General features: G+C 37.4%; 1 protein-coding gene across 1 annotated transcript in view; it reads right to left on the reverse strand.

Moving 5' to 3' along the window:
- Positions 1 to 19,890, reverse strand: part of IMPG2 (interphotoreceptor matrix proteoglycan 2) — a 98,030-nt gene that overhangs the window by 41,810 nt on the left and 36,330 nt on the right. The window contains exons 5-9 of the mRNA NM_016247.4: positions 12,309 to 12,358; positions 11,308 to 11,390; positions 9,226 to 9,387; positions 5,160 to 5,218; positions 3,156 to 3,176 (exon numbers count right to left, since the gene is read on the reverse strand). Coding sequence (NP_057331.2) covers positions 3,156 to 3,176; positions 5,160 to 5,218; positions 9,226 to 9,387; positions 11,308 to 11,390; positions 12,309 to 12,358 — 375 coding nt within the window. The remainder of the gene's footprint in view (positions 1 to 3,155; positions 3,177 to 5,159; positions 5,219 to 9,225; positions 9,388 to 11,307; positions 11,391 to 12,308; positions 12,359 to 19,890) is intronic.

A 19,890-nucleotide genomic window follows, 5' to 3' on the forward strand; every position in this document is an offset into this window, starting at 1 on the left:
ACCAAGTAGGATTTATCCCAGGAATGCAAGGATTGTTCAACATATGCAAATCAATAAGGATGATACATCACATCAGCAGAATGAAGTATAAAAACCATATGATCATCATAATGATGCAGAAAAACTACTTAATAAAATTCAACATGCCTTCATGATTAAAACCCTCAAAAAATTAGGTAGAGGAAAAGCACCTCAATACAATAAAGTCCACATATGAAAATGCCACAACTAACATCATACTGCATGGGGAAAAGTTGGAAGCATTTCCTCCAAGAACTGGAACAAGGCAAGAATGCCCACTTTTACCACTCCTGTTCAGCATAGTACCAGAAGTCCTAGCCAGAGCAATCAAGCAAAAGGAATAAATAAAAGACATACAAATTGGAAAAGAGGAAGTCAAATTATCCCTGTTTGCCGATCATGTGATCTTACACGGAGAAAAACCCAAAGACTCCATTAAAAAAACTCCTAGATTTAATGAATGAATTTAGTAAGGTTGCAGGATACAAAATCAACTTAAAAAAATCCAGTGGCATTCCTATACACAAGTAACAATCTAGCTGAGAAAAAAAAGGCAATCCCATTTACAATAGCTACAAGAAAAATAAAATACGTAAAAATAAATTTAACCAAGCAGGTGAAAGACCTCTGCAAGAAAAACTACAAAACACTGATGAAAGAAATTGAAAGGGATACAAAAAAATGGAAAAACATCCCATTCTCCTGGATCAGAAGAATTAAAATTGTTACAATGACCATACTACCCAAAGCAATCTACAGATTTGAAGCAATCCTTATCAAAATACCAATGACATTCTTCACAGAAATAGAAAAAAAGTCTTAAAATTTGTATGGAACCACAAAAGACCCCAGATAGCCAAAGCAATCCTAAGAAAAAATAACAAAGCTGATGATATATATCATACTACTAGACTTCAAATATAGTACAAAGCTGTAGTCATCAAAACAGCCTGGTACTAGCAATAAAAACAGGCACACGGATCAGTGGAACAGAATAGAGAATCCAGAAATCAATTCATATCTACAACCAATTAATTTTTGGCAAAAATATCAAGAACATATACTGCAGGAAGGACACTCTCTTCAATGAATGGTGCTGGGAAAACTGGATATCCATATGCAGAAGAATGAAACTAGACCCCTCAGCTCTCACTCTATACAAAAAATCCACTCAAAATAGATCAAAGACCTAAATGTCAGACTTGAAAAACTATTAAATACTAGAAGAAAACATTGGGGAAACACTTCAGGACATTGGTCTTGAAAAAGATTTTATGAATAAGACCTCAGAGGCATGGGCAACAAAAGCAAAAATAAACAAATGGAATTATATTAAACTAAAAAGCTTCTGCACAGCAAAGGAAACAATCAACAGAGTGAAAAGGTAACCCGCAGTACGATAGAAAATATTTGAAAACTATTTATCTGACATGGGATCAATATCCAGAATATAGAAGAAACTCAAATATCTCCACAGCAAAATAACAAACAATCCAATTTAAAAATGTGCAAATGATATGAATAGACATTTCTCAAAAGAAAACATAGAAATGGCCAAAAAATATATTTTAAAATGCTCAACATTTTCATCAACAGGGATATGCAAATCAAAACCAAAATGAAGTATCATCTCATGCCAGTTAGGATAGCTATTATCAAAAAGACAAAAAATAGCAAATGCTAGTGAGGATCCAGAGAAAAGGGGACTCTTACATACTTCTGGTGGGAATGTAAACTTGTATAGCCACTGTGGAAAACAATATGGAGGTTCCTCAGAGAACAACAAATGGAAGTACCATATGATCCAGCAATCCCACTACTGGGCATTTATCCAAAGGAAAGGAAATTAGTATATCAAAGAGATATCCACACACCCATGTTTATTTATTTCAGCACTACTCACAACAGCCAAGATATGGGGTCAACCTGGGTGTCCAACACAGATGAATGAATTAAGAAAATGTGGTATACATATGCAACCAAGTAGTTTAACTTCCAAATGCATTTTAAAACATTTTTTCTTTTCTCCTTTCTTCCCAGTCTCAAGTTGTAACCTTGAAACAAACTGTAGGAGCCTTTTCCCCCTTAGTTTTAAAATATAGCCCTGAAACATACTTTGAAACTTAACTCCCTCCTACCATCTCCCACCATGTACTCCTTTACCCCATGCACATTTATTAAATTGCGTGCTTATATCTAATTATATGCTTACTTAGAAGTTCCAGGGGCTAATCTTGAGACAGACCAAGCATGGAGACCCAGCTGCAAAATTCCAGAGATTATCTCAAGACAGTTAGTCAACAACCCAGCCATTGTTGAGATGATGCCAGCTGTGCTCCTGTGGACCATGGCTTGAGATAGCCACTGGAACAAGACATGCAGACCTTGTACCCAGCACCCCTCCTGCATGCCTCCCATTCCAAGTTTCCTTTTTTAATCCCCTCTTCCCAGCCTGAAGTTTGAATCATTTCTGGAGGTTAAGCTGGCCACTTCCCCCACTGCTAGCTTTGGAAATAAAGTCACTTTCCTTTCACTGCACATTGTCCTTGTTACTGGCTTTGCAAGCAGTGAGCAGCCAAGCCTCCATTCAGTTACACATACACAATGGAATACTATTCAGCCATAAAAAGAAGGAAATCCTGTGATTCACAGCAACACGCATGGACTGGAGGACATTTTGTTAAGTGAAATAAGCCAGGAACATAAAATTAAACAGCCTGTGAGCTAAATCCAGCCTACTACCCAAGAGTTACTGAATATTACATTTTTTAATAGTTGAAAAAAATCAAAAAAAGAACAATATTTTGTGACATGTGAAAATTATATAAAATTCAATGTCCATAAAGTGAAACACAGCAAAGCTCATTAGTTTACAATATATTGTCTATGTCTACTTTTACCTGATAGTGGCAGAATTGAGTAGTTGCAACAGAGACTATATGGCCTACAAAGTTTAAATTATTGGCTACCTGACTCTTAATAGAAAAGTTTGACAAACCCTGATCTGAAAAAGTCAGACAGTGATATTGGAAGTGATATAATATTTGAGTTATGCTCCCCTGGACCTACGGCCTGCTATATTTACTAAACTGTCTCCCAATTCAATGGACATTAGAGAAAGTGCCAAAAAGTACCTGTCATTTTCCTTGGGGGACCTGAAAACAAAAATTAAAAATATTAAACAGAGTTTGAGACAGTTATTATTGTCACATCATTCATCAAAGTGCAAGTTATTCATGTATTTCCTCTGAATTTCTTTGAAATGCTTCCTTAAATAAAAATGCTGACAAATTCCTATGGATTGAAGGAAGTGAGCAAAGGTGAAAAAAGCATTTTATTTTAAAACCATGGTCTTTATTTTCTTCTAAATTTTAAAAATACTTTAAAATAATTCACATATGGTTATTTCTTCATAAAGAAACTTTTTTCAGTAAATCAGCAGAGGACTCCAGTTGTTGGCTTTAACAAAATTGGGAACCTTCTTTTTTGGGATACAACATGTTATGCAGTATTAAAATCAGATGGTACACTGTAAAGTAGTAAGGGTATAGGTAAATGTCAGGACTGACTAATCCACAGTATACTGCATAACCTTTAATATTTATTATTTTATGTAGCAGATGCTTAAATAGAACTTTCCATGTGCCAGGAACTATGCTAAGCATTTTATAAAAATTGATTTAATCTTCATTAAGATTTATTAGTATCCTCATAATATAGGTATAGAAACTACAGACCAAAGAAGATAAATAAGTTGCTGATGGCATTTCAAAAGCATTTTTTTAATAAAGCAGGATTAAGGTAAATTGTCTTTTTTATACAAACAAAAAGTTAAATCCTGGAAATACACCCAAAAGCATCCAGCCAGAAGTGCAACGGCAGGATCTGAAGCCAGGCAAGTTGGCTCCAAAGACTGTGTTGCCCTTCATGTGCTGCCAAATAAGGGAGGTCTTCAAAGGCCTCACATTCTCAGGTTCTCATCTGAGCATACAACTGGAGGCAGCATCCTGTTTGAAAACTGCTAAAGTTGAATGGGGGCGACTGGTCATGATATGAGACTAGGTAAGTAGGACAACTTCAAATATTTGGCCTCTTTCCACTAAGCCTGCATCACTAACTAGCTAAACAACACTGGGAAAATTATTTAAATTCCCTGTGCTCTGGTTTCCTTATTGGAAAATATGAGCATAGTAACTATCTCATAGCATTGATGTTGGAATTAAATAGTGTGTGTGTAAATATACATATATATATATATAAAGCCTGGCACACTGTAAATGCTATATAAGTGCTTGCTGTTATTTCTGGTAAACTCAGAAGTTTTGTCAAGAACAAGCCAAAGTTGAGATGGATAACATCTAAACTTGGGCTAGAGCATCACCTAAATCATGGCATTGAGTCTAGCATGAAGGTTCAGAGCAAGAAAAGCTATAAAGTCAGCTGCTCTGTTTCAAAATTCCTCCTCCACCCCAGTTTACAAACTCTTGACTTTGGGCTAATACTTCATCCCTTTAAACCTGTTTCCTCCTCTTAAAAATGAGTATTAATAATATCTATCCTGAGAGGGCTGAAGATTAAGTGAGCTCAGCAATGTGGCATACCCAACACAAAGTATTCACTCAGTAAAGTATTCATTCAGTAAATGTTCACAAGTGTTACACTGTGAGTCTTAAGCAGGGAATAAATGTCTTTAAAAGAGGTGTCTGGTTTACTCAGAACTGTTATGTTTAAAACAAGGACTAATGCATCCCTTCCAGAGTGGCCTCATACCAAGATGTCAAAATCACCACACTGACAAGCTTTAGGAAAACACTGGGGCCACATCTCGTCTGCCTCCTATCAGTGCCAAATAAGACCTACGTAACTTGTCAGCAGCAAGCTGGGGACATGAATTCCTGAATTCTTAACCTAGCCAATTTTAGACCTAATATATCTCTTTGAGTTATTATTTGGTCTTTTTCTAACTCAATTTTCTCACCTGAAAAACTAACATCAAGAATACTAATTTACCAGAAATAGCATTGAGTTACAGCATTCAAACCATTTATTGTTAGAATATGTGTGATAAATATAATGGACATTCCATTCAGAATAAAGAATACTACTGAAAATGTGCATATTTAGATAAGTCTATTTACCTAAATTCAAGTACACGAATTTCCTTGTAGCCTGGTAACCCAGTAAATGCATTTTCAACCTGTTAAAAGTACAAATAAAAATGATAACTATGTAAAAATATGGAAAAATATATAGAAAATAATGCTTTTAAGAGTAGAATAAAAAGTGAACTGTTCACAACTATTAGAAGCTTATACACTTAGCTAGGCATACCCAGGTCAGAAAATGAAAGAAAAAATTTTACCTAAACACTGCCACATTTTTCTTTTTCATTTTGTCTTTCAAGGTTTCAATGTGCTTTAATATTAATTTTTCCAAATTATAAAAAGCATACTCCTTGTTGGCAAAGCACTGTTTTTCCCTTATGTGATGAAATGTGAAAAAAAAATTGTTTCAAAAGAAGCTGTAATAGCATTTTATTTTATTTTATTCTTTTTTTTTTTTTTTTTTTTTTGAGACAGAGTTTCACTCTGCCGCCCAGGCTGGAGTGCAGTGGTGCGATCTTGGCTCACTGCAAACTCCACCTTCCAGGTTCAAGCAATTGTCCTGCCTCAGCCTCCTGAGCAGCTGGAATTAGGAATTACAGGTGTGCGCCACCATGCTCGGCTAATTTTGTATTTTTACTAGAGGCGGGGTTTCACCGTGTTGGCCAGGCTGGTCTCGAATTCCTGACCTCAGGTGATCCACCTGCCTCAGCCTCCCGAAGTGCTAGGATTACAGGCCTGTAATAGCATTTTTAAATGATATTGTTTGGATTTGGAATCTGGCCACAGCACACACACTGAAAAACAGTCTAGTGTTTGTTTTCTGTAAGTGTGAAAGTGGCTGCTGGCATCTTTTTCCTGCTCCTACAACGAAAGAGAACCACAAACACACTCAACACCCAGACGAGAGGCCTTGTGGTCAGGTAACTCCGCTGGTCAAAAGACCAATTCATGAGCATCACATTTGCAGGAGCCAGTTTTATTACTGAGTCTTTAAAATCTAGCCATGTAACTCCAAATGAGCTTAGTGACTGGAGGTGGAAAATAGTATGCCAGATTGGACTAAAGATGTAAAAATAATCAGGTTGAGGCGGGTGGATCACGAGGTCAGGAGATGGAGACCATCCTGGCTAACATGGTGAAACCCGTCTCTACTAAAAAAATACAAAAAATCAGCCAGGCGTGGTGGTGGGCGCCTGTAGTCCCAGCTAGGCGGGAGGCTGAGGCAGGAGAATGGCGTGAACCCGGGAGGCGGAGCTTGCAGTGAGCCGAGATCGCGCCACTGCACTCCAGCCTGGGCGACATACTCCGTCTCAAAAAAAATAATAATAATCAGGTTAGGCAAAAATGCATATTTTAACAAAAATAAACATTTAATCTGTAACATTTCAGAAGGTGACAGCCTCACCAGATGGGTCATGATGGGGCCAACATCAGAACAAAGGAAATAAATTGATGGACCTTGGCAACATCTCTGGGCATCTGCTTTTAACCAAGTCCTCATATGAGGAGAGTGGGATTTTTAAAAAATCTTGGTTGACTGAAGATCTTTATGCCTTAAGAATAAAGATCCAAAGCCAAAGAATGAAACTCTTTGGCTATAGTAATGTGCCCTGTTTTACTCTCTGAAAGGAAATAAAAAACTGTTATAATTCTTGTAGGGTGGTGGGGAGGGGTAGAAGACACAGGACTAGAAATCAGAAGGCTGAGGGTTAGTCTCAGCTCTGTTTCTGCTGGCAGACAGTCCATGCACAGGCCTTCTTTTTTCAGAACTAATACTTCCCTGCTCACCTACCATATTGATTTTAAGATTAAAAGAAATGTACCTAAAAGCACTCCATTAACTGAAAAAAATCATTACTACTAAACCCATCTTAGTGTAGGCTTTGCAATCTCTGGAGTCTAAACATGTATAGATATCCAGTTGCATGAAGTCATTCGACTTCAACATTGATATTAATAGTCAGTAAAATTTATTGAGGACTGCAATATATCTGGTGCTTTGCTTTACTTCAAATCTCTGTGACAATCCCAAGAGATAATATATTATTCCTGTTTTATGGATGAGAAAATGGAGATTGTAAGATATTAACTAACTTGGCCAAGGTCACACATTTGGTAAGTGACTGAATCAGAATGCATTCAATCCCAGATCTCTCTAACACTGAAGCCCATATTCTTCCCATTGAATTACATTGCCCCTGCCTCATGATAAATGTGCTTTAGAATTGGGACCAAGACTGGGAAAACTAAGGTTCACTATAACTTCTCCCTTGAATTAAAAGGAAGGGGACTCTGTAGAAGAAGGAGTACTTTGAAAGGCAGTAGGAGACCTGATTTTCATTTCTGTTCCTAGAGAGACTGAATGACAATGAACAAGTTATTTGGCCTCCTGAGCCTCATCTGTAAATTAGAGATGCTTGAATACATGACTGCTGTGAGCAAACAAATAGAAAGTCGCCTGTGGAGCATAAGGAACTATGTGAGGATCACACCGACACTGGAACTGCCCTCAGGCACCAACCCTCCCAGGCCCATCACACTGACCTTTCCCTCTCTGATGTTGTACTTCGTGTTATCCCAAGCCTATCATGCCCCCACTTCTTATCCTTTTACACACGCACACACACACACACACACACATACACACACACACAGACACACAAAGACTAATAGCTCCTAAACCTCATCCCCTCCAAGCAGGCTTTCTTTCTCCCTGTGTGTCTTCCAGTAATACCCAGAGAAGCTGAGGGAAAAATCCATGTGATGGTGTCCTAAGGGGAGGGAGCTGGAGGATCCCCTTCAGTTTGAGACATGATCCCCTGCCTCTGCTGTTTCATGCAAAGTGACTGTTGGTAGACATTTCATTCCAGGTAAGGGGACAGGGAGTACAGAGATAGGCCAGAGAAGGAGGTCTTCCATGGTAGGCCCAGAACCTTCAACACCCTCTAATCACCTCAATAGCTACCTACCTCATCAAGTCCTTGATGAAGATATTTTTCAGAGTGTTTATTGGACTTCTCTAAATCTGCAGTCATTCCATGCAATTGTTTACCTAAACACTAAGCTATATTAAAAGTTCCTTAATCAAAGGACAGAGAAAACCAGACAGCCAGCCCAAGACACTCTTTGATGCCAGGTGGCCACTGGCCTGGCTGACATTTCTTCCACATACCATATAGCCTTGCAACTTGGCCACACCACTAGGAAAATAAATTGTCTGGCCTCCCCTTCCCACATCTGATGGCTACAATAATGCTTTGGCTGAGAGATGCACATTTTTATTTCTCATCTGGACACAGTATCTGGGGAAGAAAATTAATCTAAGGTAATGGAATTGATAAACTTGGCTAAAGAGAACCCCATCAAGAAGGAATGGGAAAAAATAAACGAAGGAATGATGTGCCCTGTCATCTGACAGACAGGGGTAGATAAGCATTCAATGTCTTACTGCACAAAAGCAAAGGCAAACTAGACGGGGACTATGGGTCATTTTTGACTGAAAAATTCTTGAGTTTAAGTCCTATATAGAATTTTCCCAGAAAGTGAAGTTATGGGATGGTCTAATCCACAATTCTTTAAAGAAATCCCTTTTTAAAAATACCTCCAACCAAGGATAGGAGAAACATTTATTTTTCACTGGATGCCCTTTTATGCTTCTAAATTTTGTACCAGTTATTACCTATGTGTTAACTATTGAAAATTTTTCAATTAAAAATACTAAAGATGAAATTAAAAGACATTAAATGTAATGTTCCCTTAAGAAAAACAATACAGTGTGTGTAGTTTCTTAGAGAAGCTTATTTCTCCAAATATTTTCAAGTCAAAACCATGCCACAGAACACATTCTTTCTTGGCTGTGCAGCAAAAGTTGGAAATTGCATTTATTTTTTAGCAGATGGCAAGATTTTTCTTTCTGTGAAAGAATTCATCTGTCCTATGACTTTTCACAGAGTTTTCTGAAGAAATGGCTAAGTAACCACTCCAGGAACCAAGTAGACAAACAATTTGAAACCTAAACCTATCTTTAAACAGTGTTGTGAATATAGGAAACTAACATAGCAGGCATACTGCCTTGTTTGTTTTTTTTTTAATCACCCACCTCTGAAATAAATTCTTCTTCAAGGTGCTGGTGGTGAAAGCTGGAGGAATCCTGTAGTTCTTCCCTGTACTGCTTCCCCAAAAGGTGGATACTGAATTCTGCAATCTGTTCACCTGCTGGTTTTGTGGCTTCTTCTATCACATTCTCAATTTCATTGCTAATCTGAATTTTTAGAGAAAGAACAATAAATGTCAAGGCTTATTCATTCAATCAACAAACATTTATTGATTGTTTCAATGTGTCAGAACTGTGCTAAAGGCAGCTTCTGAAGATAATCTTATTATTTCGTATTTGACTTTGGAACAAATTGGGTAGACTTTAAGACACAGGCTAACAGCCAGGAGAAGTGGCTCACACCTGTAATCTCAGCACTTTGGGAGGCCGAGGTGGGCAGATCACTTGAGGTCAGGAGTTCAAGACCAGCCTGGCCAACTGAAACCCCATCTCTACTAAAAATACAAAATTAGCTGGGCATGGTAGTATGCATCTGTAATCCCAGCTACTCAGGAGGCTGAGGCAGGAGAATCACTTGAACCTGGGAGGCGGAGGTTTTAGTGAGCCAAGATCCACTGCACTCCAGCCTGGGTGACGGAGCAATACTCCATTTCAAAAAAATAATAAATAAATAAAATAAATTAATAAAATAGTAAACATCTGGGTAAATCTTAAACAAATTTTAGCTGTGTAAGTAGAATATAATACAGTCTAATTAGTAGAATAAAAAGAAAGAACAAAAATACTGAAAAGCAGCATACAGGTCAGCAAAATGATCATTTGAATTACAATGTTCTAATGTTCCTATGTTGCTCAGGATAAGAATAAAGATGTTGAAAAACTTAAAATTTGTTAGGTTGAATACACATTATAATTATAGGATAAATCCCAACAGAACTGAAATACGGTATATAATTTCTAGAAGAGTAGATGGGAAAATGCATTAGGAAAATAGGTGCACAATAAAACTACCTTGGGCTTCATTTTGAACCAGAGCTACAGCAAACTAATTTTTGTTAGGTATCTCTATATTGTTTTGTTTTCCTACTGGCTCTATAAATTGGCTTAAATCCTCTGTTTTGGATATTAACGTTCCAATTGATTGCATACAATTCCTTAATTTCTATTAAAGTGAATTATATCTCATTCTACAAATGTTTCCAGATCTAAATCATAGCTATTCTGCCTCAAGTTCAGAGCTGCAGTATCACTTTTTATTCATTCATTCACAAATATTTATCAAATGCCAATATTTGCTAGCACCATCTACTTGGAACACGGTTATACTTAGGATAAAAGTATTGATTCGGGTATCCACTCTAGGGATTACCACCAGCCTTGTTCAGTGACAGGGAGGGTGATGAGGCAGAGTGGAGCGACTTAACCTGATTTCATGTAAGTTAAAATGTCCACGTTGGGAAGTGAAGGTGCAAGAGAACTAAATTGCATCTTCCTAGTGGATATGTTTTGTCAGAGTTAGCTCTATATTAAAAAAAAAAAAACAGGATTTGTGAACCCCCTAATTTTTTAAATTCAGTATTTAAATATCTTATCTAACAAAATGTTTCTATATTCCTGGGCGATGTGTAAATTTTTTGTTAACCTGTATGTATCTTTTGTGATAGAGACTCACCTATAGGATTTAGTGTTGTTTAGTGGACAGGTTTCTATTAATAATGGTACATTCACAATGCATGGTACTTTTTGACTTTTAAACTACATAAAATGTATATTATTACCCACTAAAGAAGGCTAAGATCTGGTCTATTAAGGGTGAGAAGAACATAGGCAAAACCACCATAGAAAATCATGTCACAGAGGCCACAAGAGGCAGTGGGCTTACCTCAATGACAGTCCACTTCATTTATAATTCGAAGCTCTCACCAAAAACTCACCAATAAGAGCAGATTTACTCAGTTCTCCAAGGAATCTCAAAATTGTTTTTAATGTACTGGTTTTAGGATCCATGTCATTTTTCTAACAGGACACTACATGAAGTCCTGTGTAGTCCAGCAATGGGAGATAAACTCTCTCTTAATCTCTATGTTCCATGTTAGAAACTAACTAACAAAACAGAGCATCACTCACACTCTCCTCTGGCCTTTCCAAGCTGCTCTCTGAGGCACCTTCATAGGCGTCCACCTCTGGATGTGGAACACTGAGAGTAGTGTCTAAGAAGAAAAGCAAAAACATATGCATGAATTCAGTCCTCGATTAAGTCAGAATTCCTATCAGGAAATAAGGAACTGACTTCAAAAACCATTCCTATAAATAGTTTGTTTTATTGTCCTGGAAATTCGGTGCATTCTAACCTCAGGACATATTTGTATGGAGCCTTCTCAGAACAAGAAATAATTGTGGTACGTTCAACAAGCATATATTGAGCACCTACTATATGCCAGACTCTGCACAAGACACTAGGAACACAAAGACAATATTCCTCTACTTAAGGAGCTATCTAGTAAAGGGGACACATACTAAAAGAAGTAACTCCTCTACCAGAGAGGAGAAGTGGGTAAAGGTTGGAAATTGGTTGTGAATTGACAAGTGTTAAAACTGGACCTTATCATGTTATTCTATTTTTGTAGATGTTTGAAATTTCTAACACAGAGAAGTTTGTGGGGTTTTTTAATTAAAAATAAAGAAATGAATTACCAATTTACAAGAAATATACTGGGCAAAGGAACATGTTAAACTATACCACAGAATGCAATAAGAAAATCCTTACTCTGGGAACCTCTCATGGGACGAATGACAAATGGTGGCGTTAGAATGGTTCTACGTTTTGACATTAGTGGTGGCTACAGAGTGTTTGCCTTAAAATAATTCATTAGCTCATACATTTGTTTTAAGTGGTGTTCTGACTTGTATTATATACTTAATGATTAAGGAGTTTTAGGTACCCACAACATAATGCCATAAAATAAATTTTTAAAAATTACTTTTTCTTGAGACTCTTGAAAAACGTATTAAAAAAGAGAAATCTGATATTTTTAAAAGGTAAGCTGCAAAAAATGTACTTGTTTGTGAGCCTGTCTTAAACCATAAATAATTTTAAAAGAAAAGTGAATGAAGACACAAAAGTATACCTCCCAATGTTGAAGTATCACCAACAGGAACTGGAGAAGACAGTTCAGAGCTAGAAAAAAAAATGTTTGCAGTTAATAAAATGACAGACACATGAGAGTTTATTTTGGGATTTTTGGGGTTGTTTTCCAAAAAGGAAAGCACTAGATCACCAAGTAAGGGCTCCCAAGCAAAAGTACCAAAAAGCAAAGTTTTTTAAAATTAAAACTTCATAATTCATTTATTTTATATTTATTGATGCCTACTCCACTAGAATCACCCTACCTAGAATTCTTCCCTAGTTATCTTTGCATCACCCTGTTTTCTCTCTTCTCAGTTCTTATCACTATGTGAAATTTTATTTATCTTCTTATTTATCTCTGTCTCTAATGCCTTAGTCCTCTAGCACAATATTGCCCAAAATGGTAGCCACTGGACATGCATAGCAATTTAATTAAAATTAAACCAAGTTAAAAACTCAGTTCCTCATTTACACCTGCCACATTTCAAGTGCTTAATAGCTGCATGTGGTTAATGGCCATCATACTGGACAAGATGGTAAAGAACATTTCCATCACCACAGATGTTCTGTTGAACAGGAATGTATTAAGAATCTAAACTGCATGAGATTGGAGACCTTGACTAATATATTCCTGCTGTATTTTCCAGTGCCTAAAACAGTACCTGCCATTTAGTAGGCATTAAAAATATATTTTGGGGATAAATGAATACTATGTGCCAGGCAATGTAGAAGGTACTTGGCATATAATTGTGAGCAAAACACCCATTGTATATGAAGGTTACAGTCTTATAGAAATTATACACACTAAATCAATAATTACAGATGAGACAAGTAGTACAGACAAGAAAGTAGTGGCTGCTAGAAGGAACATAAAACCACACACCTGATCTCATCTGAGAGATCATTGAAATCATAAAACCTATTTATATAAAGAAAGTCAAGCTTAGAGAAATTATTTGCTGTAGGCCCCATTGCTAACAGGCATCAGGTCTCCTGGCTGTTGTTTTACCATGCCACTCTGCAATTGCAAGCAAAGATAAGAAGAGATCAGAAGATAATCTAAGAAAGCCTCTCCTCCTAAAGGAAAGAAAATAGGTTTCCACAAGTCCATATTTTCACATATCCCAAAGCTATAAAAGTTAAATTACAGTAATCTGGGAACATTTTAGAATTTTCAAGTTTGTACACATGTCCTAAGAGGAAAAGGGCTATTCCCTTAACCTTTTCCAAAGATATTGGATCAGTGGTGATTGTCTGTTTTCAACTCATAGCAATTAAAAACTCTCTTCAAGTTGGGCACAGTGGCTCATGCCTGTAATCCCAGCACTTTGAGAGGTCCAGGCGGGTCAATCACTTGAGGCCAGCAGTTCGAGACCAGCCTGGCCAACATGGTGAAACCCCGTCTCTACTAAAAATACAAAAATTAGCCAGGCGTGGTGGCACATGCCTGTAATCCCAGCTACTCAGGAGGCTGAGGTATGAGAATCACTTGAACCCAGGAGGCAGAGGCTGCAGTGAGCCAAGATTGTGCCACTGCACTCCAGCCTGGGTGACAGAGGAAGACTCTGCCTCTAAATAAATAAATAAATAAAAACTCTTCAATGCTACCAAGTCAACTTCCTAAAGTAATTTGATCAACAGTCAAAAATATCTCCCTCATAGACGTGCCCAGGTCTGTGATGTGCCCAGTAAGTCACATCTTCAGAGCCACACACTTTTAGATCAACCTACTGCTCTAAAGTAGATTACAGAGGTACTCAAAGCCTGGAGATAAACATGGCACACACTTTGAGGCATCAGTTTTACTACAAGCTTAAACAGGTTAGGAGCTAAATAAGAACTGATGTATAATTTAAAACGTTTTAATATTATAACAAACATAGCTATATTATGGAATAGAATATAAAGTTTAAGTGAATATGAAGATAAAATATGATAATTCAAAGACATTTTATGATTGGAGCTGGTATGGGAGGGTAAATTAGGGGCATGTTTTCTAAATGCCCAGGCTTTGGCAGAAAATTTGAGAAACATAAGTTAAAAAAAAAAAACAAACTTCACCATAAAGATCTTTCTGGTTTTAAAAATTCTATCTAAAAAAGTAAGATGTTAAACTATTACACAAAACTCATCAGTATTGTTTATTTAGAGCACATTTGCATAAAATTGCTTATTAAGTTTCATCTAGAAGAACCTAAAGGGATATGACATCTGGACAAGTTATTTTGATGAGCAGAGGACAGCATGAGTGATGAGGAAGCATTAAGAGGCTTCTTGGGTTACAGAGGATGGAGCTGAAAAAAATGGGATTCAGATGCATTCAGAAGAAACATTAACATAATCAGGCCTGAATAGGGTCCATCAATTGTCCACATGGCAGTACTCCTTCCCAGTACCTTCATTTCATAGATGAAAGAAATAAGGTCCAAACAGGTAAAGCAACTTTCCCAGGCTCACACAAAAATTCCTAATTGTATCCAGTTCTCTTTCAATAATAACAGCAAGAATAATTACAACTAACTTTACTGAGCCCTCATCATGTGTCATACACTGCTAAGTGCTTTATTTAGGTTAACTAACTTAATTCTGGCAACCACCTTAAGAAGGAGATCCTATGATCCCATTTAGACTGATGAGGAAACTAATGCTAGAAGAGGTTAAGAATTTGCTCAGGGTCACACAGCTAAGCCAATGGAGAAGCTGTTATGTAAAATAGGCCCACTGGATGCCAGAAACCTCATTCTTACTCATCTCAAATCACTGCTTCACAACATGGCCCTTATGTGATCCCTACTCTTTAGAAGGGTTTCACTTGGCCTTCATGATACTGGCCTATAAAAACTAAATGACCTAAAAGTCAGTGTGTAAGGTCCCAGAAAGAGGAAGGGGAACCTGGTTAGAGTTGCTCTATGGAGAGCAACCAGATATAAGGATCACAATAAGGCAAAGGTATGAAAGCACAACACAGCAACTCGAATAGGATGTTGCAATGAGGTAGCAGAGAAACCGGACTTCACCTGGGGTGAGTTAAATTGTCTCCGACGTCAAATCAAATTTACGCTAATTCTCTAACTAAGCAAACATTCAGAATGGAGAAGTTTACTTCAGTTGAACTAGATTTCACCTTGCTGAATTCAAAATAACATTATTTTAATAGTGATAAGTAGGAAACTCTTAGTAATTTAAATCACTTGCCTACACTCCAACTCTTAATCCCTCAACCACCCACTCTCCTTTCAAGAGACAGTAAAGAACACTTAACAACAAGAATCCTTTTACATGTTTTCATTAAGTATTCCCCCTGCAGAGATCCTTTAAAATGTCACTCACCACAGCACTGGAACACAGAGGTGTATTGAGCTTGGAAAGAGAAATACTACTTAATTTCTAAGTCAAACCACAAAGTTGAAGCTGTTCAGCTAAGATCTTTAGCTTAATACTAATAACATACAACCCCTTACTATCTCCTCTCCTCATTTCATCCAGCACATTATTCATTCTTCACCACTACTACCTAATCATGTCAATGGAATTCAGGTGGGATCATGTCAACAGCTGCTCATAGCCACATAGAACATATATTTAAAGACATTGTAAAACAAGCCAAGCACAGGTTCATATGCAGATTCCTGCTCCCCTTGATATCTTCTATACTTTGCTTTGCTCTCGAATATGTTACTATAATCACATGTGACCACAAAAGAACTCAAAGAAAGGAGTTAAGAAACCTGAGTGCTAGTCCTAGATGTATCATTAACTTTGTGTATGATTTAGGGAAATACCTTAGTTGCTCTGGGCCTCAAAAACTTACCCTTTAAAACAAGAACACCTCCACGTCTGCCTATTTCAAGAAGGTGTTGACAAAAATTAAATAAAATATTATATGCAGAAGCATCAGAAAAAGTATGAAATGCTAAACAAATATAAAACAGGGGTTAATGGGACAGTGACATATATCATCCCAAACAGAATAAAACATTTGCTGAAAATATATATATATAGGCCAGGCACAGTGGCTCATGCCTGTAATCACAGCACTTTGGGAGGCCGAGGTGGACGGATCACCTGAGGTCAGGAGTTCGAAACCAGCCTGGCCAACATGGCGAAACCCCATCTCTACTAAAAAACATACAAAAATTAGCCGGGCATAGTGGCACATGCCTGTAATCCCAGCTACTCGGGAGGCTGAGGCAGGAGAATCGCTTGAACGTCAGAGGTGGAGGTTGCAGTGGGCTGAGATCGGGCCACTGCACTCCAGCCTGGGTGACAGAGCGAGACTGTTGCAAAAAAAAAAAATTATATATATATAGTGATCCATGATGGGTATTCTCAACTACAATTCTCAACTACAAATGTAAATTAATTGAGACACACACACACACAATCCCAAAGAGCAGTCCTTATACTGAGAATATCACCAGAGACCTGATAATAGACTTGGGTGATTAGGTAGAAATTCTGTTATTAATTTAACAAATATTTAGTAAGCACATATCCTAGGATGAGCCTTGCACTCGTTATTGGGGATGTAACCGTAAAACCAGATGGCAGGAGTTTAAGGAGTGATTGGAGCTAAGTGGACATTCTTTCAAGATGTCTGGCTATAATGGAGATAAATGCGGGCTGTTTTAAAAATAGGTAACATGAGAGGGACTTCAGCATGTTTAAATACTAATGGGAAAGAGTTAGTAAAGAAGGAAGTTGGAGACTCAGGAGAAAGAGAGAAACAATGACAGGCAGAGGTTTCTAAGAGGAAAGACAGAATTTAAGGTCCTGAATACAGGCAGAAAATGTTCTTTTTAAGAGTTGGCAACTGATAGCAGGAGATGTTTAAAATAGGATATAGCAGAGTATTTGGTGCAAGACATACATTAGCAGATGTATTAGAGTTTGCATAGAGGTCTGCAATTTAAATTACAGAGAATTGTGATTGGCAGAATACTAGCCTCCCAAAGAGGGCCATATCTTAATTCCCAGAGAGGGGAATTAAGGTTGCAAGTAGAATTAAGCTTGCTAATCGGCAGATCTTAAAATAGGCAGAGTATGCTGGGTTATCCAGTAGGCTCCATGTAATCACAGGGACCCTTTCATGTGGAAGAGAGAGACAGAAGAAAGTCAGAGTGACGGAATGTGAGAGAGACTCCACCGGCCATTGCTGTCTTTGAAGATGGAAGTGGGCCATGAGCCAAGAAATGTGGGTGGTCTGTAGAAGCTAGAAAAGGCAAGAAAACAGATTCTCCCCTACAGCTTCTAAAAAGGAACATAGCCATGCTGATACTTTGAGACCCAAAGGAGGCTTTTGAACTGCAGAACTATAAGATAATCTATGTTGTTTTAAGCTGCCAAGGTCAGACTAATTAGTTAAAGCAGCAGTAGAAAACTAATACAAGAATCTCTTTACACAGAGAATACAAAAATAATCTCAAAAAATTTATAAAAATAAATTTGAATAGTGGAAATGGGAGTTAATGGAGTAGTGACACATGTCATCCCAAAGAGAATAAAATATTTGCTGAAAAAAATATATATTTGGCTTTGTGGTCCATGGAAATCGTGGGCAAATAAGGGTTTTAATGGATGATGGTAATATTCAAGCGGAGAAAGATAGGCTGAGTAAATTCTTAGGCCACTCCTATGGTATCACTCCCAGTGTGAGCTAGCCCCATGTCATCCCCTTCAGCATCTCCCACAGTCGGCAGTCTCCACCCCACTTCAACCTCATCTGCCCTAGTTTCAGGCAGAATACAAATTTTTAAATTTTCAAAATTAACTTATATTTTAGTTATGTATTGTTATTTCTTTATATGCCTTATTTTCTAAGAATAGTGAATATCTTGTATCCTCTATTATTTATACCTAGTACAGGCAGTGACTTATCAATAGAGATACATGATACATACAGTCAGTTCTGCTATGCTATTTATTTGTAAATTTGTTTCAACATGATTAATATATTAAGAAACAGTTGAGCATAATACAGATTTCTCCTTTACCTATACCCAATTTCATTGTGAGAAACACTAGATGAACAAACAAAACCACCCAGATGAATAGAGACCATGTAGGAATACACCAAGCACTCTCATGCCCAACACTTCAGACATCTTCCAGCTACCTTAGTTCACCCATGAGTTATGAACCACACCTACCCTCGTATAGTGTTACAACTTTCTGTCCTTCTTCACATAACTCTCCTTCCATCACTTTACAATAATTTATAAGCTACAATCTTTCCAGTGTCCAATTTTACGAACAAATGTCAGAAATTCATCAAGGTTAAGTGACATATTTATTATGGTATTTGTGTATTTCTTAACCACATGGGACATGTAAACTGTGCCACCATTTTTATTAGTTTACTTTTTGTTTGTTTTTGAGATGGAGTCTCACTCTGTTGTTGCCCAGGCTGGAGTGCAGTGGCGCAATCTCGGCTCACTGCAACCTCTGCCTCTCAGGTTCAAGCTATTCTCCTGCCTTAGCCTCCCGAGCAGTCAGGATTACAGGTGCACGCCACCATGCCTGGCTAATTTTTTTTGTATTTTTGTAGAGACGGGATTTCACCATGTTGGCCAGGCTGGTCTTGAACTCCTGATTTCAAGTAATCTGCCTGCCTCAGCCTCCCAAAGTGCTGGGATTACAGGCGTTGAGCCACCATGCCAGCCACTAGTTTCCTTTTTTTAAAAAATGTATTGTTGACAAAGTTTTTGGGTATTGTGCCCCAACTTTATTATTCCCATTGCCCCTGTAGTTTTTATTGAGTGATTTTCAACAATTTTTAGGAAATAATATATCATGTTATAGTAGAACTAACTATATGATGAAGGTGTTTTGTTTTCATAGAAAGTTTTTGAATAAACCCCATAAATTTGTTTGTTCTAAGACTCTTTCCAACATGGTACATATATACAGAGTATACAGTAGATGGCCAGAAGCCACAGAGTAGACTTGGCTCCATTTCCAAAGCTTCCATTTTGTGTGATATTTGAGGAAATAAATCAATTTATATAAAATTTATACATACTGATATACTACATAGCAAAATACAAAAGAGTGCATGAAGTCTTAAGAAAAGGAAGTTTGGATTTGCAAAAACAAAACAAAACAAAAAACTCTGAGCTATACTGCCCATATTTTCTGCCATTGAGGACTTTGGGAGAAAAGTTTGATAAACACTGTTCTAAGCAAATGTTAAAATCCCCTTAGCTGACGAATATATAGACTAATAAGAAAAATAAAAAATAACTCTGGCTGCTGTGTTGAAAATGTACTGTAGTTGGGAAAGGGTTAGACATGTTAAGAAGCTATTATAAGAATAAAAGATGCTGGTGGCTCATACCAGGGTGGTGGCAGTGAAGATGGTGAAAAGTGATCAGATTCGAGATATATTTTGAATCTACAGGCAACAGAATTTCTTGATGGATTGGATGTGAGGTGTGGGAGAAACGGAAATATAAAGCATGATCACAAAGTTTTGGTCTGCATGACAGACACAATAAAGTTGTCACCAATAGAAATGCAGAGTTAATTGGGTTGGGGGCATGGGAGAACCAGGAGTTCAGTTGTGGATGTGTTGAGTTTGAAAT

The sequence above is a fragment of the Homo sapiens genome, chromosome 3 (genome assembly GCF_000001405.40).
Source record: "Homo sapiens chromosome 3, GRCh38.p14 Primary Assembly".
Lineage (NCBI taxonomy): Eukaryota > Metazoa > Chordata > Mammalia > Primates > Hominidae > Homo > Homo sapiens.